The sequence below is a fragment of the Homo sapiens genome, chromosome 19, assembly GCF_000001405.40.
Source record: "Homo sapiens chromosome 19, GRCh38.p14 Primary Assembly".
In the NCBI taxonomy this organism is placed as follows: domain Eukaryota; kingdom Metazoa; phylum Chordata; class Mammalia; order Primates; family Hominidae; genus Homo; species Homo sapiens.
In genome coordinates, this window is record NC_000019.10 from 40,616,136 (window position 1) to 40,636,051 (window position 19,916).

A 19,916-nucleotide genomic window follows, 5' to 3' on the forward strand; every position below is an offset into this window, starting at 1 on the left:
GTTATCAACTATGCTAGGTGTGGTGGCACAAGCTTGTAATCCCAGCTACTCAGGAGGCTAAGGTGGGAGAACTGCCTGAACCCGGGAGGTTGAAGCTCCAGTGAGCCATGATCCTGTCACTACACTCCAGCCTGAGCAACAGAGCAAGACCCCATTTAAAAAAAAGAAAAAAAAGCTGGATGGGGTGGCTCATGCCTATAATCCCAGCACTTTGGAAGGCTGAGGCAGCTAGATTGCCTGAGGTCAGAAGTTCATCACCAGCCTGGCCAATATGATGAAACCCCATCTCTACTAAAGAAAAAAAAAAAAGATAGTGGCTGGGCGTGGTGGCTCACACCTGTAATCCTAGGACTTGAGGAGGCCGAGGTGGACAGATCGCTTGAGGTCAGGAGTTCGAGACCATTCTGGTCAACATGGTGAAATCTCATCTCTACTAAAAATACAAAAATTAGCTAGGCATGATGGTGCATGCCTGTAGTCCCAGCTGCTCTAGAAGCTGAGGTAGAATTGCTTGAACCTAGGAGGCAAAAGTTGCAGTGAGCTGAGATTGAGCCACTGCACTCCAGCCTGAGTGAAAGAGCGAGACTCCGTCTCAAAGAAAAAACAAAGTTTTCAACATTGTTGATCTTCAGAAGCTCAGGCTCCTAGAATACCAGATTGCTAAAGACTTCTTAGTCTTGGGCACCGGAAGTGGTGTTAGAACTTCTGAATTCAGGCCTTTGACTCCCCTTTCATCTCCTCCACACTCTGCAGATGTGGATGAGTGCCAAGAATATGGTCCCGAGATTTGTGGAGCCCAGCGTTGTGAGAACACCCCTGGCTCCTACCGCTGCACACCAGCCTGTGACCCTGGCTATCAGCCCACGCCAGGGGGCGGATGCCAGGGTGGGTGTCCATCAGGCATCGGGTGAGATGTGGAGATGGTAGAAGGTCCAGAAATGGCCTGACTGTCTGGTGGTTGCAGATGTGGACGAATGCCGGAACCGGTCCTTCTGCGGTGCCCACGCCGTGTGCCAGAACCTGCCCGGCTCCTTCCAGTGCCTCTGTGACCAGGGTTACGAGGGGGCACGGGATGGGCGTCACTGCGTGGGTACGGGACTTCAGGAGGTGGATGGGACCAAAGGGGGTGGGGGAGGTTGGTCAGGCCCTGTCCCTCCCCATATATCTGAACAAATGGGAATTTTCGGGTTGTGGAATTTAGACTTTGGAATATAAGATCATCTTCATGCCAGGCACGGTGGCTCACGCCTGTAATCCCAGTACTTTGGGAGGCCGAGGCGGGCAGATCACTTGAAGTCAGGAGTTTGAAACCAGCCTGGTCAACATGGTGAAACCCCGTCTCTACTAAAAATACAAAAATTAGCCGGATCTGGTGGCAAATGCCTGTAATCCCAGCTACTCAGGAAGCTGAGGCACAAGAATTGCCTGAACCCAAGAGGTGGAGGTTGCAGTGAGCCAAGATTGTGCAATTGCACTCCAGCCTGGGTGACAGAGTGAGACCCTGTCTCAAAAAAAAAAAAAAAAAAAAAAAAATCAGAACTGTTGTAGTGGCTGGTGACAGAAACCTGACTTAATCAGGTTTTATTTTTGTGTGTGTTCTTTTAAAAATGTATAAAGTATAAATGTATAAAGTACTAATCTTAAGTGTTCATAAACATTAATCTTTCCTAACATTTTATGAGGAAAATTTCTAAACACAAAGCAAATTGAGAGAATCATAGAATGAACACCTACCTACTCATGATCTAGATTATATTATCATTTTATTACACTTGCTTCCTCACATATCTATCCATTAATCCATCTAATTTTTTGGACAGAGTTAAAAGTAAATTGCAGGCACCAGTCTGCTTCCCCATAAATTCTTCAATATGCATATCACTAACCAGAATTCAATATGTGTTTACCAATGTATTCTTCTCTTCTCTCTTTTTTTTTTTTACTTTGAGGTGGGGTCTTGCTCTGTTGCCCAGGCTGGAGTGTGGTTGTTTGATCATAGCTTACTGCAGCCTCTAACTCCTGGGCTCAAGCCATCCTCCCTCCAGAACTGAGCTTCCGAGTAGCTGCTACCACAGGCACACGCAACCACGCCCAGCTAATGTTTTTAATTTTTGTAGAGATGAGTTTTTTTTTTTTTTTTGGAGACAGAGTTTTGCTCTAGTTGTCCAGGCTGGAGTGCAATGGCATGATCTTGGCTCACTGCAACCTCCACCTCCCGGGTTCAAGCAATTCTCCTGCCTCAGCCTCCCAAGTAGCTGAGATTACAGGTGCCCACCACTATGCCCAGCTAATTTTTTGTACTTTGAGTAGAGATGGAGTTTTGCCATGTTGGCCAGGCTGGTCTTGAACTCCTGACCTTAGGTGATCCGCCCACCGTGGCCTCCTAAAGTGCTGGGATTATAAGCATGAGCCACCACGCCTGGCCTGTAGAGATGAGTTATTGCTCTGTTGCCCAGACTGGTCTCAAACTCCTGGCTTTAAGCAACCCTCCCTCCTTGGCCTCCCAAAGCACTGGGATTACAGGCATGAGCCATTGTACCCTACAGATATTTTCATTCAACGTTCAATTTATATACAGTGAAATGCAGCAATCTTAATTATACATTCTGTAAATTTTCACAAATGCAAACACAACAGGTTTTATTTCTTTAAAGGGAATTAAAACTATAAAGTCTTGGGATATATTTGAACTCCAGGCATAACTGGATCCAGGAATTTTAACAAGGCTATTTCTATCTTCTCTGAGTTCTGCTTTCTTCTATTGCATGATTTTCAGGCAGATTATTTTTCACAATGATGAAGGTGGCCCTAGAACCTCTGGGCTAACATCTCCAGTGGGCCACCCGAGAGCTAAAAAGGGAGGTTTTTTTTTCAATATTTCTAGCAAAAGCGCCAGGCCTGGCTTTGATTGACCCAGCATGATCACTGCCTATGTCTGAACCAGAGAAATGCCGTCATCTGTTTGGTCATTCCTGGAACTTGTGCCCACCTCTCAGAGTAGATATAGCCCTACTCAAAGAACAGGATTGAAAATAGAGGAGCACAGGGTTCCCAAGGGAAATTCAAGGTTTCTCACTAGAAGAAAAACAGATGATGGGATCTGGGCCATTAAATATACACATTATATTTGAAAGCTGAGACTTTCGGACCTTTGGAATCATAGAAGCTTATAACCACTGAGTCCCTCTCCCCTGTTGTCTCCTGCTTACAGATGTGAACGAGTGTGAAACACTACAGGGTGTATGTGGAGCTGCCCTGTGTGAAAATGTCGAAGGCTCCTTCCTCTGTGTCTGCCCCAACAGCCCGGAAGAGTTTGACCCCATGACTGGACGCTGTGTTCCCCCACGAACTTCTGCTGGTGAGACTGATGTGTCTATTTAACTGATGGCGGCTGGCCCCATGGGAAAATCACGTGGTCTAATCATTCCTGATGTGGACAGCTACCATCAGCTAAATACTGTTGTTTTAAACATCAACAAAAGACACATAAGTTAACATGGGTAGTGAGACTGTGTCAGGAGAATTAGACCCTGGTCCTGACTCTACCAGATTCTTTCATTCAACAAATGTTCACAGGGTGTGCACTGTGTTCAGGCCATCTTCTGGGCACTGAGAACATAGTAGTGACCAGAAGGGATCACTGTCTGTCCTCAAGGGGCTCACAAGCCAATGGGGCAGACAGAGATATCACCAGATAGTGACAACCCAGAGAAATCAACAAGACTGTGACGGGGAAAGCCCAGGGGGGTTTTGGAGGAGGCGCCTGGCCCAGCATGAGAAGAGGATTAGGGAGTTCTTCCTGTAGGAGACGACATCTGAACTGAGAGCTGTGGGATGAATAGAAATGAGCCAGGCCCGATGAGTGAGGAGGGCATTCTGGGCAGAGGACACAGCAAGGGCAAAGGCCTGGCAAAGCCAGAGAGCATCTGGCATGTGAGAAGAACTGAAACAGGTTCAACATGGCATGATTTAGAGAGCAAAGGAAGGGGTAGGGAGAGATGGGGCCAGGGAAAGAGTCAGGTGCCCGATCACACTGACTTATCACAGTAAGAGAGCACTGCGGTACCGTGGAAGGGGTTTCGGCGTTTTTTTTTTGAAAATTTTTTTTAAATGTTTTTTTTTTAAGACAGGGTCGTACTTTCACCCAGGCCGGAGTGCAGTGGCGTGATCTCAGCTCACTGCAACCTCCACCTCCTGTGCTCAAGGAATCCTCCAACCTCAGCCTGCTGAGTAACTGGGACTACAGGCACATATCACCACAACAGCTAATTTTTGTATTTTTTGTAGAGATGTGGTTTTGTCATGTTGCCCAGGCTGCAGTATTTTTTTTTTTTTAATTTTTAAATGTTACATATTTAGGCTAGGATTGGTGGCTGAAGGCCATAATCCCAGCTCTCTGGGAGGCCAAGGCGGGAGGATCACCTGAGGTCAGGAGTTCGAGACCAGCATGGCCAACATGGCAAAACCCTGTCTCTACTAAAAATACAAAAATTAGCTGGGTGTAGTGGTGCACGCCTGTAATCCCAGCTATTCGAAAGGCTGAGGCAGGAAAATCGCTTGAATCCAGGAGGCGGAGGTTGTGGGATTGCACCACTGCACTCCAGCCTGGGTGAGAGAGGAAGACTCCGTCCCAAAAAAAAAAAAAAAAAAAAAGCTATGTATTTATTTATTTTTAATAATTTCCATCTTTACTTTAGATTCAGGGGATACATGTGCAGGCTTTTTACCTGGGTATATTTCGTGATGCTGAGCTTTGGGATACAAATGATCCCGTCACCCAGATAGTAAGCACAGTACCCAACAGCCAGTTTTTTTTTTTCTTTGAGACGGAGTTTTGCTCTTGTTGCCCAGGCTAGAGTGCAGTGGCGTGATCTCAGCTCACTGTAACCTCCACCTCCCTGGTTCAAGTGATTCTCCTGCCTCAGCCTCCTGAGTAGCTGGGATTACAGGTGTCCGCCACCACGCCCAGCTAATTTTTTGTATTTTTAGTACAGACGGGGTTTCATCATATTGGTCAGGCTGGTCTCGAACTCCTGACCTCAGGTCATCCACCTGCCTCGGCTTCCCAAAGTGCAGGGATTACAGGCGTGAGCCACCATGCTCGGCCCAACAGCCAGTTTTTCAACCCTTGTACCTCTGTCCCTCCCCCATCTAGTGGTCCCCAGCAACTATTGTGGGCATCTTTACATCCATGAGTACCCACTGTTTAGCTCTCACTTGTAAGTGAGAACATGTGGTATTTGGTCTTCTGTTTCTGCATTAATTTGCTTAGGATAATGGCCTCCAGCTGCATCCATGTTGCTGCTAAGGACATGATTTCATTCTTTTTCATGGCTGTGTAGTATTCATGGAAGGGTTCTAAGCAGGAAAGATAGAATCAGATTTTGAAACCTCCCTCTGGCCGCCATGTGAAGGTGATTGAAGCGGGTGATATGGAGGCTGGGAGCTCAGGGAACAGGCTGGGGCAGGGGCCTGGACAGGAGAGAACAGGGCTGGACCAAGGCAGGGGCTGTGGAAGGGGAGGAGAAGGTGGTGGGAGAAAAACCCAAGAGGCCATGTGGACAAGCTGTGGATGTCTGGGTGGGGAAGCTGTGTCCAAGACAAGGCATAGGTTTTTTGTTTGTTTGTTTTGTGACAGAGTCTCGCTCTGTCGCCCAGGCTAGAATGCAGTGGTGTGATCTCGGCTCACTGCAACTTCCGCTCCCGGGTTCAAGCGATTCTCCTGCCTCAGCCTCCCAAGTAGCTGGGATTACAGGCATGCGCCACCACACCCGGCTAATTTTTTCTATTTTTAGTAGAGACCGGGTTTCACCATGTTGGTCAGGCTGGTCTCGAACTCCTGACCTCAAGTAATCCAACCGCGTCGGCCTCCTGAAGTGCTGGGAGGACAGGCAGGAGCCACTGCACCTGGCGACAAATTGTAGGTTTTGAGATGAAGACTCAGCCAGTTTGCCACACACTGGATAAGAGACCCAGAGAGGCATCCAGGAAGCCAGGGAAGTTCCCTCACCACCCACCCAAGCTGTTAGCTGCAGTGACGGGAAAGTGTGAGGTGGGGAGGCAAGAGATGCAGAAATGACAGGAGGTGACAGTGGGAGAAAGAGAAACAGTGACAGAGGAGCGTGAGAGGTGTGGAGTCTGGTTCTGCCACTGATGGCTGCCACCCTCTGTTTCCCTATCTATGCCAGCCTCAGTTTCCCCATCTATGATAGTGGCGGGGCTGGGGATTCAGCCCACACTGGGCTAAAGCTCCTTGTCTCCCCAGGCACGTTCCCAGGCTCGCAGCCCCAGGCACCTGCTAGCCCCGTTCTGCCCGCCAGGCCACCTCCGCCACCCCTGCCCCGCCGACCCAGCACACCTAGGCAGGGCCCTGTGGGGAGTGGGCGCCGGGAGTGCTACTTTGACACAGCGGCCCCGGATGCATGTGACAACATCCTGGCTCGGAATGTGACATGGCAGGAGTGCTGCTGTACTGTGGGTGAGGGCTGGGGCAGCGGCTGCCGCATCCAGCAGTGCCCGGGCACCGAGACAGGTGGGCATGGGCTGATGGGGACACAGGGCTGAGGGCTTGGGTGGAAATACTGGGTGGGGTGTGGGCCTGGGACAGGGGACACTTTTGGACAGGGCCTTGAGGTACTAGTACTGTCAGGGCAAGGGCGAGCTGCCAGGCAGGTGGGCATGGGCAGACATAAGGCTGAGAGGTGGGCACTAACAGGCACAGGGCCAGAGGGACTTTTGTGACAAGTGGGCACGAGCAGGTCAGGGCTGGGGCTGGGGCTCTGGTGTCCTGGCTCAGGCTTGTCTCTGTGTGTAGCTGAGTACCAGTCATTGTGCCCTCACGGCCGGGGCTACCTGGCGCCCAGTGGAGACCTGAGCCTCCGGAGAGGTGAGGCCAGCCTTTGACCCTCCACCCCACTCAGCTCTGAGGCCCAGCTTCGTCTCTTCCTGTTTTCTTTGCCTCTGTCTCTCACCCTTTCTGTTTCTCTGTATCTGTCTCCCCGACCCCACCCATACTCTGTCTCTTTCTTTCTTTTCTTTCTTTTTTTTTTTTTTCTTAAGATAGAGTTTTGTTCTTGTCGCCCAGGCTGGAGAGCAATGGCGAGATCTTGGCTCACTGCAACCTTTGTCTCCTGGGTTCAAGCGATTCTCTTGCCTCAGCCTCTGGCGTAGCTGGCTACAGACACTAGCCACTACGCCTGGCTAATTTTTTTGTATTTTTAGTAGAGACAGGGTTTCACCATGTTGGCCAGATTGGTCTCGAACTCCTGACCTCAAGTGATCCGCCCACCTTAGCCTCCTGAAGTGCTGGGATTTCAGGCATGAGCCACCGCTCCTGGCCTCTCCATCTTTCTTTCCCTGTCTCTACTTCTTGGTCTATCACCAGCTCTGTCTCTGTCTTCCCACGTCATGCCCTCACACACTCCACCCATCCAGCCCGCCCCCATCTCTCTCTCTGCTTTTCGCACAGACGTGGACGAATGTCAGCTCTTCCGAGACCAGGTGTGCAAGAGTGGCGTGTGTGTGAACACGGCCCCGGGCTACTCATGCTATTGCAGCAACGGCTACTACTACCACACACAGCGGCTGGAGTGCATCGGTACAAGCCCCACCTCCCCCAACCCCCGGCAACTCTCTCCAACCCCTAGCCTTGCCAGCTCCCCTCTGGAATGTGGCCACCACCAGCGGGAAGTCTTTCCTGGAGTCTAGACTCCATCCATCACACTGCCAATGTGCTGGGAAGAGAAATGGGAAAGGGTGGGGAGAGTTGAAGGGGATGCCTCTTAATCATCCTCTCCCTAGACAATGACGAGTGCGCCGATGAGGAACCGGCCTGTGAGGGCGGCCGCTGTGTCAACACTGTGGGCTCTTATCACTGTACCTGCGAGCCCCCACTGGTGCTGGATGGCTCGCAGCGCCGCTGCGTCTCCAACGAGAGCCAGAGCCTCGGTAACCCCGCCCACGCCATCCAGGCCCTCCTTCCCTTGGCTCGGCCTCACACCCGCACCCGGGCCACACCTTTGCGACGGCCACGCCCTCCGAAGGCCACGCCCCATGCTCCTGGCTCGACCACGCCCCACTGAGCCCTCACTCAGTCTCTGTCCCACTGTCTGTCTCTCTGAGGCGAGCTGGCTAGGTGGTTAAAGGCAAAAGTTTTAGGGCAACCTTTGCATGTTGCCTCTTGGACTCCAGGTTTCTTTCTGCACACTGGGTGAATAGCCCCTACCTTATAGGGTGGCTGTGAGGAATTTTATTTAATTTTATTTATTTATTTTTTGAGACGGAGTTTCGCTCTTGTTGCCCAGGCTAGAGCGCAGTGGCGCCATCTCAGCTCACTGCAACCTCCACCTCCGGGGTTCAAACGATTCTCCTGCCTCAGGCTCCCGAGTAGCTGGGATTACAGGCATGTGCTACCACGCCCAGCTAATTTTGTATTTTTTTCTTTAGTAGAGACAGGGTTTCTCCATGTTGGTCAGGCTGGTCTCGAACTCCCGACCTCAGGTGATCCGCCTGCCTTGGCCTCCCAAAGTGCTAGGATTACAGGTGTGAGCCACCACACCTGGCTGATGAATTTTATTTTATTTTATTTTATTTTTAATTTTTAATTTTTAGTTTTATTATTTATTTTTTACTAAGTACCACATGAGTGCTGCCTGTTATTATTTATCTGCATCTCTAGGTCTCTGTCTCTTTCCAGCTGTTTGTGGATTTCTGTCTTTGGGGTTTTCTCTGAATTTCTGACACCCTCTGGATCTTTGTTTTCAGGTCCCTTTCTCCTGCCTCTGTATCTTTGTTTTCCTGTTTTGAGTCTTTGACTCTTTGGATGTGTTTCTCTCTCTCTCTTTGGGTCTTTTTTCTCCCTTTTCGTTTCTGACTATTTTCCTATCTCTAGGCCCCTAACAACTTCTGCTGAAGCTCTGTCTCTTGAACACTCTACTTGTCGTTGTTTGTTTTCATTTTTGAGACAAGATCTCGCTCTGTCATCCAAGCTGAAGTACAGTGGCACAATCACAGCTCACTGCAGCTTCCACCTCTCATGCCCAAATGATCCTCCCACCTCAGACTTGCAGTAGCTGGGAGTCCAGGAGCCCGCCACCAAGCCTGGCTAATTTTTGTATTTATATATATATATATATATATATATATATATATATATATATATATATATATATATATATATATATTTTTTTTTTTAAAGATGGGTTTTTGCCATGTTGCCCAGGCTGGTCTTGAACTCATGGGCTCAAGCAACCCCCCCACCTCAGCCTCCCAAAGTGCTGGGATTACAGGCTCCAACACACTCTCTCTGTGCTTCTTGCCACCTCTCTTTTTGCCCACTGTCCCAACCACTCTTCTCTCATTTCCTGTGCCTTCAGCACTTACCCCCATACAGTGAGATGTCAGACAATGCTCAGAGAAGCAAAGCAACTGCCCCGAGGCCACACAGCCCTCCAGAGGCCAGACTTGGGTAGACCCCTCTCAGGCCCTACCTCCCAGTCATTGGACACCTTCTTCTGCCCTCTCCTCCTATATGACAGTCTCCTTGTTCCTCAATCCAGAACCCTGGAGTGACCTCAGAGAACTTCCAGAGTTAGATCACAGCTGATGAGAAGGATTTGCTGATAGGCAGAGGGTGCCTGGGCTGCTCAGCAGGGGAAGGGTCCAGCCCCTGGGAGGACCTGAGTGCCAGGCCCACTCTGACACATGCTGTCTCCACCTACAGATGACAATCTGGGAGTGTGCTGGCAGGAAGTGGGGGCTGACCTCGTGTGCAGCCACCCTCGGCTGGACCGTCAGGCCACCTACACAGAGTGCTGCTGCCTGTATGGAGAGGCCTGGGGCATGGACTGCGCCCTCTGCCCTGCGCAGGACTCAGGTGCTGGCACTGGCCTAGGCTGAACTCAGAGGCCTTGCCCCATGGGCTCCAAATCTAGGCCCTCAGATCCCCAGTCGCAGAACCCCCAGACTCTATCCAAACTCTGTCCCCTAGACCAACCCCTATGTCGCAGCCCATCCCAAAATCTTGGTCCCCGATTCACACTCCAAAGACTTCCAAGTCTCAGCCACAGACATCCCAAGGCCTGACCCAGCAGATCCCATAGTACCAGACCCACAGGCCCCTGAGGTCTGGTCTCTCATATGCTCAGCTCCTGGTCTCTAGAACCACCAGACACAGCCTATGAGATGTCCTCCCCTAAATCCTGGGCCCTTAGACCTGAAATGCCAGTTGCTCAGACCTCACCATCCTGGCCCCAGACCCCCTGGTCACAGCCCCACAGACCTCCAAGTCCCATTGCCTTAGACACCCTCCAAGTCCCATTGCCTTACACACCACATCCGGGTGCCTAAGACCCCAACACACAGCCCCAGAGATTCCCAAGTCTTGGTTTCTACAACCTCTGAGTCCCTCAGTCCTCAGCCCTTAGGAACCCAGTTCCAAAGCCCCAGTCCTGGGTCCTCAGACCTCCAGGTCCCAGTGCCTCAGACTGTCTCCCATGCATCCTGCCCCCTCAGGTCCCCAGCAGCAATCCCTGGGATTCCCCAGTCCTGGTCCACAGAACACCCCCATCTAATTTCTTCAGGTCCCTAGTCCTAGCTCCCATGGGTCGCTCCAATTCCAGCCTCTCAGACCCTGATTCTTAGCAGGCTTCATTACCCTTGATCTCAGCACGTCCGAATCCCAGTCTCAGCCTTCAGATTCTCAGCGCTGGCTCCAGAAACCCCGGGGCCACCCAGGACCCTCCCCATCCAGTCCTCTGCCTCCTCTCCCAAGGGGGGTATGTGAGTGGTGGGTGTGGGGGCCAGCAGGGGCTGATTGTTTGCCTTGGCTCCTGTTCCCAGATGACTTCGAGGCCCTGTGCAATGTGCTACGCCCCCCCGCATATAGCCCCCCGCGACCAGGTGGCTTTGGACTCCCCTACGAGTACGGCCCAGACTTAGGTCCACCTTACCAGGGCCTCCCATATGGGCCTGAGTTGTACCCACCACCTGCGCTACCCTACGACCCCTACCCACCGCCACCTGGGCCCTTCGCCCGCCGGGAGGCTCCTTATGGGGCACCCCGCTTCGACATGCCAGACTTTGAGGACGATGGTGGCCCCTATGGCGAATCTGAGGCTCCTGCGCCACCTGGCCCGGGCACCCGCTGGCCCTATCGGTCCCGGGACACCCGCCGCTCCTTCCCAGAGCCCGAGGAGCCTCCTGAAGGTGGAAGCTATGCTGGTGAGCACTGCCAGCGCATGATGAGACTGAGATGAGGGGTGAGGTGTGCACGGAGAGAGGAGGGAGGGAAACAGAAGGCGGGAGGAGAGACGGAACACAGGTGCAACTGGAGAGAGCCACAGAAAGGGACAGAGAAGTGTCTATAGCCCGGCAAAGAAAGAGAAGGTGGCAGAGGGAAAGCTGGCGAGAGAATGAGGTAAGCTTACTGGCCCCGCAGCACCCGCCACAGCCCTGGAGCGGGATGGACAGTTTACAGCGAGAAAGATGGAGCCAAGGACGCGCACCCACCGTTGTGGGTAAGGGGTGAAGGCAGGGACCTCAAGTCATAGGGTCCCCGCATTTCCCACAGGTTCCCTGGCTGAGCCCTACGAGGAGCTGGAGGCGGAGGAGTGCGGGATCCTGGACGGCTGCACCAACGGCCGCTGCGTGCGCGTCCCCGAAGGCTTCACCTGCCGTTGCTTCGACGGCTACCGCCTGGACATGACCCGCATGGCCTGCGTTGGTGAGGGCGGGCCCGGGGCCAGCATGCGCAGGGAGAGGCGAGGCTTGTCCAGGGAGGGTGGAAGCCCTGACTAGGGGGTGCTGGTCAGGGACGGGAAAGGACCTCACTACAGGGGACGGGCCAGCGCAAAAGGGAGGAGTAATTCTTCCACCTGGGTGGGGCTTGACTGAAGAAGGCGGAGTCAGGGTGCCAGCAGGGCAGGGCTTAACCACGGGGCTGGAGCCGGGCCTTGAAGCAGGATAGAGGAATAGAATAGTGCTGGTGTGACTTGCAGTGCTACCTTGGGCAGTCTGCAGGACCTCTTTGGAGAGCCTCAGTCTTCCCACCTGTAAAATGGGAATATTAATCAAGTCTGCCTAATTTGGATGGCAGTAAAGCCAAGTGATTAAAATCAAGAACATAGCCGGGCGCAGTGGCTCACGCCTGTAATCCCAGCACTTTGGGAGGCCGAGGCGGGCGGATCATTAGGTCAGGAGTTTGAGACCAGCCTGGCCAATATGGTGAAACCCCGTCTCTAAAAATACAAAATTAGCCGGGTGTGGTGGTGCATGCGTGTAATCCCAGCTACTCGGGAGGAACCCAGGAGGCAGAGGTTGTGGTGAGCCAAGATCGCGCCATTGCACTCCAGCCTGGGCAATAAGAGCAAAACTCCGTCTCAAAAAACAAACAAAACTCGAGGAGGTCACATAGACCTCAGACTCAGTCCAGCAACTTGCTGTGTGACGCTGGACAGGTCACTGTCCCTTACCTAATTTTTCTGATATGAAAAATGGCTACAGTCAAAGATCCCATTTCATAGAATTGCGAATATTATTAACACTGATTTACAATAACATTGAGAGTCATGTGCAAATGGAGGCACATGCGTAAAACGAATTACAGTACCTACCTAATAGGGGTATTAGAAGGACAAAGTTAATACTTGTAATGTGCTTAAAACAATGCATGAACATTTATTGTTGTTGACACCATCATCAGTATTTTTTTCTTCTTTTTTTTTTCTTTTCTTGGCGACAGAGACTCACTCTGTCGCCCAGGCTGGAGTGCAGTGGCCTGATCTCGGCTCACAGCAACCTCCTCCTCCCAGGTTCAAGCGATTCTCCTGCCTCAGCCTCTCGAGTAGCTGGGATTACAGGCGCCCGCCACCATGCCTGGCTAATTTTTGTATTCTTAGTAGAGACGGGGTCTCACCATGTTGGCCAGGTTCGTCTCGAACTCCGGCCTCAAGTGATCCACCCGCCTCAGCCTCCCAAAGTGCTGAGATTACAGGCATGAGCCACCGCGCCCGGCCATTATTATTTTCTTAACAAAATCCTAGTGCGGTATGGGCCACCATATCCATCTTACAGAACACGAAACTGAAGCACAGTGAGGTTAAGCCACCTGGCCGGGCTCACACAGTTAGCAGATGGCAGAGGCCAGATTGGACTCCAAACTGCTCAGCATCTGTGCTCCTCTGTTCCAAGAACTTAAGGGGCCAAGGAGGCGAGCTTCTGGGGCCCCAGCCTTCAGCAGCGATCGTTGTCTCCCCTCCGCAGACATCAACGAGTGTGATGAGGCCGAGGCTGCCTCCCCGCTGTGCGTCAACGCGCGTTGCCTCAACACGGATGGCTCCTTCCGCTGCATCTGCCGCCCGGGATTCGCACCCACGCACCAGCCGCACCACTGTGCGCCCGCACGGCCCCGGGCCTGAGCCCTGGCACCCGCTGGCCGCCCACCCGCGCCCGCCACTCGGGGCCCCTGCCGCGCATCCTGCAGCCCGCTTATGCGTATGTGCACGGGGCCGCCCGCCTGGACCTGGAGAAGGGACCTACGGACGCCTGGAAGCTGCGACGCCCTGCACTGCTCCCGCCTCCACCAGCGCCTCCCACTGATGTCGTGGTCCCGGGCCTGGCCCAGGGGCCCCTTTACATGCCCTCTCCCTTTTATAAAATTTTCCATTAAAAACCACCTATTTTCTATCTTTTGCCTCCTCCTGTCTATTTCTCCAAGTCTACCCCAGTTTGTGCTTTGAGTCACTAAATGACATTCCCTTCCCTTCTGACCCCTAGTTTCGTCTGTCTCTCTGCCTCTCTTGGTCTCTGTCTTCCTTCTCTCTCTGTCTCTGTCGTTCTATCTCATCTCTGTCTCTTTCTGATTTGTTTTCTCTGCCTAACCTCTACATCCTGTCTTTTCATTTCTGTTTCTGCATGCGTCTTTCTCTTTTCCCTTCTCTTTGTTTGGTTCTTTCATCTCGAGAGCAATCTTGCCTCTGGATTTTTTTTTTTTTTTTTTTTTTTTTTTTGAGATGGAGTCTCACTCTGTCACCCAGGCTGGAGTGCACTGGCGCCATCTCCATCCACTGCAACCTCTGCCTCCCGGTTTCAAGCGATTCTCCTGCCTTAGCCTCCCAAGGAGCCGGGATTACAGGTGCACACTACAACCCAGGCTAATTTTTGTATTTTTAGTAGAGACGGAGTTTCGCCATGTTGGCCAGGCTGGTCTCAAACTCCTGGCTTCAGGTGATCCACCCACCTTGGCCTCCCAAAGTGCTGGGATTACAGGTGTGAGCCACCGCACCCAGCTTTTATTTTTTAGAGATGAGGTCTCCCTATGTTGCCCAGTCTGGTCTCAAATTCCTGGGCTCAAGTGATCCTCCCACCTCGGCCTCCCAAAGTGCTGAGATTATAGATGTGAGCCACCGTGCTTGGCCTAGAAGTCTTAAGCTGTCCTGGAACAAGTGGGGCAAGAGCAGGGAGCAGGAGTCCCTGGAGGGCCAAACCCAGACCTGACGCTCCAGCTAGGAGTTGGCTGTGGATGGAGTATGGAGCGGCAGTCCTGACAGCTGGAGGCGGGAATGAGCTCTGTGTGTGATGGTGGAGTGCCCAGCACGGACCTCCTCCATGTGCCCTGCCTGCTTACTGGCCATGTTCCTAGTCCAGACTCCTCCTCCCTAAAAAACAAGAACGGCCTAGATCAGCATAAACTTAGGGCAGGAGTAGGGGTCGGGAATCGTGGGTGATCAACTTGGCACTGGGCCAAGCTGGGAAAAAAAAAAAAAATGTACCTCAGCCAGGCGCGATGGCTCACACATGTAATCCCAGCGCTTTGGGAGGCCCAGGCAGGCGGATCACGAGGTCAAGAGATCAAGACCATCCTGGCCAACATGGTGAAACCTGGTCTCAACTAAAAATATAAAAATTAGCCCGCCATGGTGGCATGCAACTGTAATCCCAGCTATTTAGGAGGCGGAGATAGGAGAATCACTTAAACCCAGGAGGCAGAGGTTGCAGTGAGCCGAGATGACGCCACTGCACTCCAGTCTGGCGACAGAGCCAGACTGCATCTCAAAAACAAAAACCCACAAAACTGTACCTGTCATTCTTCACCCACCTGTCAATTCTTGTGTCCCCAGGGTTTCAAACTCATATGCTGCAAAGACCAGAACCGGAATGTTAGCAGGAAGCAGGGAAAATTGAGGCACACATTACCTTCTGCCTAAGGCTTGGTTAGACTAGGAAGGGGAATTTTCCCCATTGTTAATACTTTTTTTTGGCCTGGCGGGGTGGCTCACGATTGTAATCCCAGCACTTCGGGAGGCCAAGGCAGGATGATCACTTGAGCTCGGGAGTTTGAGACCAGCCTGGCAACATAGTGAGACCCCATCTCTACAAAAAAGTAGCTGGGTGCGATGGTACATGCCTGTAGTCCCAACTACTTGGGAGGCTGAGGTGGGATGATTGCTTGAGCCCAGGAGGTCGAGACTGCAGTGAGCTGTGATCGTGCCTCTGCATTCCAGCCTGGGTGACAAAGGCATACCTTGTCTCCAAAAAAGTTTTTTTTAATGTATATTTTTAATAACTATCTGATATTGTTTGGCTGTGTCCCCACCCAAATCTCATCTCAAATTGTAATCAGAATTGTAATCCGGGGAAGGACCTGGTGGGAGGTGATTGGATCATGGGGACAGTTTCCCCCATGCTGTTATCGTGATAGTGAGTGAGTTCTCACAAGATCTGATGGTTTTATAAGGGGCTCTTCTCCCTTGGCTCGCTGTCTCTCCTGCCGCCTTGTGAAGAAGGTGACTGCTTCCCCTTTGCCTTCTGCCATGATTGTAAGTTTCTGAGGCCTCCCTAGCCATGCAGAACTGTGAATCAAGTAAACCTCTTTCCTTTATAAATTACCCAGTCTTGGGTGGTATCTTTATGGCAGAGTAAGAATGGACCAATAGGGCCGGGCACGGTGGCTCATGCCTGCAATCCCAGCACTTTGGGAGGCTGAAACAGGTGGATCACCTGAGGTCTGGAGTTCAAGAGCAGCCTGGCCAACATGGTGAAACCCCATCTCTACTAAAAATACAAAAATTAGCAGAGCATGGTGGTGGATGCCTGTAATACTACCTACTCGGGAGGCTGAGGCAGGAGAATCGCTTGAACCCAGGAGCCGGAGGTTGCAGTGAGCTGAGATTGGGCCACTGCACTCCAGCCTGGGTGACAGAGCAAGACTCTGTCTCAAAAAAACCAAAAACAAACAGAAAAAGACTAATATAGTACCCTATGGGGCCTATTTGGCCTATGAGGCTCCAGTTTTAATCCTCTAGGCACTGCTGAAATTGCATAAATTGTGGATTGGAGGCTGCTTCCTGACCTGATCTCCAGCCCACCCGCTGAGTGTCAGGAGGGGTCACATGCCCAGCAGCCTCCTGTGCTACATCGGGGAATCATACTAAGAGCGCCTACCCTGCAGGATTGGTGGTGGTGGTTAAATGAATTGTCATATATGTGCTTAGAATGTCACCTGGTACAGAGCAAGGGCTCAGTCATTGTTGGCATAACCCTGGGCCTCCCAGGATATGCTGAGCCCTGTGGCTGGGCAGATAGTAAGGTCTTGTTCTTTTCTCTTTTCCTTTCCTTCTTCCTTTTCTTTTCTTTCTTTCTTTCTTTCTTTTTTTTTTTTGACATAGGGTCTTGCTCTGTTGCCCAGGTTGGAGTGCAGTGGTGCCACCATGGCTCACTGCAGCCTCAACCTCCCAGGCTCAAGTGATCCTCCCACCTCAGCCTCTCAATTAGCTGGAACTGCAGGCATGTGCCACCATGCTCAGCTAATTTTTTAATTTTTATTTTTTGTAGAGAGGGGACCTTACTGTGTTGCACAAGCTGATCTCAAACTCCTGGGCTAAAGTGATTCTCCTGCACTTTGGCCTGCCAAAGTGCTGGGATTACATGTATGACCCACGGCACCTGGCCTGGCTAGGTCTTTTTCTTTACCAATTCTCCCTCCCAGGGTGGAGGAGGAGGCCAGACCCCATCCCCTTCAACAGGACAGTGAGAAACACCTAACACAAGGCCTTGGTGGGGAGGAGTGTCAGACAAGGAGTGGCTCAAGGCTCCACAAAGGGGTGACAGTTGCACAAAACTGTCTGTACCAAAAATCATTGAATTATACACTACACATGGGTGACTTGTGTGGTATGTGAATCATAAGTCAATAAAGCCCTTCTTTAAAAACGCCGACTCTACAAAGCGTTTCAGAAAGTTACCCTCCAGCTGATACAGGGAACCCGACCCAACCACTAATTCCTCAGTCATTCATTCAACAAATATTTTCCTGCTTTGCAATAAGTGAATTCGAGGAACACAAACTTTAACCCAGCCTTGGGGGGTGGTTAGGGAGGGCTCCTGGAGGAGGAGATGTTGGAGCTGAGAGTTGATTACTGTAGGGAAATGAGCAAGATGAAAGGGGTGGAGGTGCCTATAATCCCAGCTACTCCGGAGGCTGAGGCAGGAGAATCTCTTGAACCCGGGAGGCAGAGGTTGCAGTGAGCCAGGATTGCACCGCTGCACTCCAGCCTGGGCAACAGAGTGAGACTCTGTCAGAAAGAAAGAGAGAGAGAGAGAGGAAGGAAGGAAGGAAAGAAGGAAGGAAAAGAAAGAAAGAAAGAAAGAAAGAAAGAAAGAAAGAAAGAAAGAAAGAAAGAAAGAGAAAGAAAGAAAGAAAGAGAGAGAAAAAGAAAAGAGAAAGAGGTGGAGAACCATGTTCCAGGTGGAGGGGACAGCACTTCCGAAGGCCTAGAAGTAAGAGAGCAAGTGTCTGTTAGATGTCTTTCCTTTGGTATCTAAGGCCTGTATTGGACAACAATGGTGACAATCTTGGTGCCTGAGAAATCCCAGGCCCTTGCCTTCATGGGGGACACCGACACATCACCACACATGAGAGCCTGTGCTGTATGGGGGAGGCACAGGCAGGGGTCAGGCTGCGGTGGGGGAAGATCAGAGGGCATGCATGCCCAGAGGAGACACTTGATCCAGTCTGAGAGATGATCAGGGAAGGCTTTCTGGAGAAAGAGACAAAGCTCTGAACAGTCTCTGTTTGGGCGTCTAGATCCCTTTGAGAATCTGTCGAAAGCTCATTCACAGAAGAAAAACTCACACAAACAAAGGTTGCAGGCAATTTCCAAGTATTCTCATCCTTCCTCGGAATCTTCTGTGGGTATCCCATTCCCACCCCGCCCCCACAACCACCTTGCTGCATAAATGTCCCAGGAATTGCGACAGGGCTGGCCAACAGTGCTGGAAAACTGCAATCGAATTTCAGCATCCTGGGAGTGGGATCTTTCTTCTGAGATCTCGCCCGCCGCCGGGCCTGGAGGGTGTGCCCCATGGATCTAATTGTTATCCTGCCTGCATCCCCTGCACTAACCCCCAGACCTGGCGTTGGGGCTTCTGGCACTGGCCGGGACCGACGCGTTCTCCTCTGGAATGTTCAGAGGGAGGTAGTCCAGGCGGTCACCGCGCTCGCCAGACAAGCAACGCAGCGCCCCCCGATGGCCACCGCGCGCCGGCGCAGCCCAAGCCGGCTGCGCCCCCTAGTGGCCGATGCTCGTAAAGTCTTCAGCGAGCCCCGAGCTTTTGCTAGCCAGCCCTTGGTTTTGCAGGCTGGGGTCATCGTCGTTGTCATCGTTGGCATCATCATCATCATCATCATCATCATCATCATCATCAATAGCTAGTAGGCTTGGCGTGGTGGCCCACACCTGTAATCCTAGCACTTTGGGAGGCCGAGGCAGGTGGATCACTTGAGGCCAGAAGTTCGAGACCAGCCTGGCCAACATGGTGAAACCCCGTCTCTACAAAACAGTACAAAAAAGCAACCGGGTGTGGTGGTGGGCACCTGTAATCCCAGCTACTCGGGAGGCTGAGGCATGAGAATAGCTTGAACCTGGAAGGCGGAGGTTACAGTGAACTGAGATCGAACCACTGCACTCCAGCCTGGGCAACAGAGTGAGACTCTGTCTCAAAAAAAAAAAAAAAAAAAAAGCTATGATCATCCAGGCAGTGATTCATGCCTGTAACCGCAGGGCTTTGGGAGGCCAAGGCAGGAGGATGTCATGAGGCCATGAGTTCTAGACTAACCTGGGCGACAGAGCAAGAGCTGTCTCTATAAAACAAAACAAAATGCTATAGACCAGACGCAGTAGCTCACACCTATAATCCCAGTGCTTTGGGAGGCCAAGGCAGGCGGATCACCTGAGGTCAGGAGTTCGAGACCAGCCTGGCCAACATGGTGAAACCCCATCTCTACACTTTGAAAACCACTACTTTAACTGTCTCTCCCACAGGGAGAGCTGCCTCCTTCACTCTCAGCTCATTTGGTTCACATGTTGACCCTACTGGAAGACTCCAGACCTGGCCAGTGAGAGAATCCCTTCCCTTCAGCCTTTGCAACTGGCTTAGGGACAGGTGTGTCCCTGAAGCTGGACTGATGAGCATTGGCTCTGGAACTACTGCTGATTGTTGAAGAAGGGGCTTCCTAGACATACTGTGCTGAAAGGGCACAGGCTTGGAACACTGGGTTCTTACATGGGAGAAGAGCTGGCCTGAAAATGCAGCCAACACGAGGGGAAGCAGCGCTGGGAGAGGAACAGAGAGACTGGTGCCTGGCGCACGTCATCTGCACCTCTGTCTCACCCTTCTCCAGAACATTTCTTTGCATCTTACATCAAATTTGTCAGCAAATTCTGTCGGCTCTAGTTAGAAAAGGTGTCCCATTCTGTGTTGGAGGAAAAGCGATGCTGTCTATCAGGACGTTACCGGGTCAGTTGACAGAACTGGAATACGAACAGTCGATTAGAAAAATTCACATACTAATATTAAATTTACTGAAGTTGATCACTATATTGTGGTCATGTAAGAGAATATCCCTATTCTTTTGTTTT

At 51.6% G+C, this 19,916-nt stretch overlaps 1 protein-coding gene across 3 annotated transcripts in view, besides 3 other annotated features; it reads left to right on the forward strand.

Moving 5' to 3' along the window:
* LTBP4 (latent transforming growth factor beta binding protein 4) overlaps positions 1-13,685 on the forward strand; it is a 36,655-nt gene extending 22,970 nt beyond the window's left edge. For 2 of the 3 annotated variants that reach the window (NM_003573.2, NM_001042544.1), the window contains exons 23-33: positions 754-885; positions 965-1,090; positions 3,212-3,358; positions 6,266-6,532; positions 6,815-6,886; positions 7,469-7,597; positions 7,801-7,947; positions 9,722-9,874; positions 10,840-11,220; positions 11,570-11,722; positions 13,261-13,685. In NM_003573.2, the coding sequence (NP_003564.2) occupies positions 754-885; positions 965-1,090; positions 3,212-3,358; positions 6,266-6,532; positions 6,815-6,886; positions 7,469-7,597; positions 7,801-7,947; positions 9,722-9,874; positions 10,840-11,220; positions 11,570-11,722; positions 13,261-13,415 (1,862 nt within the window). In that variant the 3' untranslated portion in view covers positions 13,416-13,685. The remainder of the gene's footprint in view (positions 1-753; positions 886-964; positions 1,091-3,211; positions 3,359-6,265; positions 6,533-6,814; positions 6,887-7,468; positions 7,598-7,800; positions 7,948-9,721; positions 9,875-10,839; positions 11,221-11,569; positions 11,723-13,260) is intronic. The other variant, NM_001042545.2, reaches the window with a different exon arrangement.
* Positions 6,458-7,098: an enhancer, noted in NCBI's record as "H3K27ac-H3K4me1 hESC enhancer chr19:41128498-41129138 (GRCh37/hg19 assembly coordinates)". NCBI's record gives its function as "activates a minimal SCP1, AML or CMV promoter by ChIP-STARR-seq in naive H9 embryonic stem cells {active_cell/tissue: H9 hESC(naive)}" and the evidence as "EXISTENCE:reporter gene assay evidence [ECO:0000049][PMID:30033119]".
* Positions 9,623-9,672: an enhancer, noted in NCBI's record as "active region_14660". NCBI's record gives its function as "activates an Ori minimal core promoter by ATAC-STARR-seq in GM12878 lymphoblastoid cells {active_cell/tissue: GM12878}" and the evidence as "EXISTENCE:reporter gene assay evidence [ECO:0000049][PMID:35858748]".
* Positions 14,765-15,355: an enhancer, noted in NCBI's record as "H3K27ac-H3K4me1 hESC enhancer chr19:41136805-41137395 (GRCh37/hg19 assembly coordinates)". NCBI's record gives its function as "activates a minimal SCP1, AML or CMV promoter by ChIP-STARR-seq in naive H9 embryonic stem cells {active_cell/tissue: H9 hESC(naive)}" and the evidence as "EXISTENCE:reporter gene assay evidence [ECO:0000049][PMID:30033119]".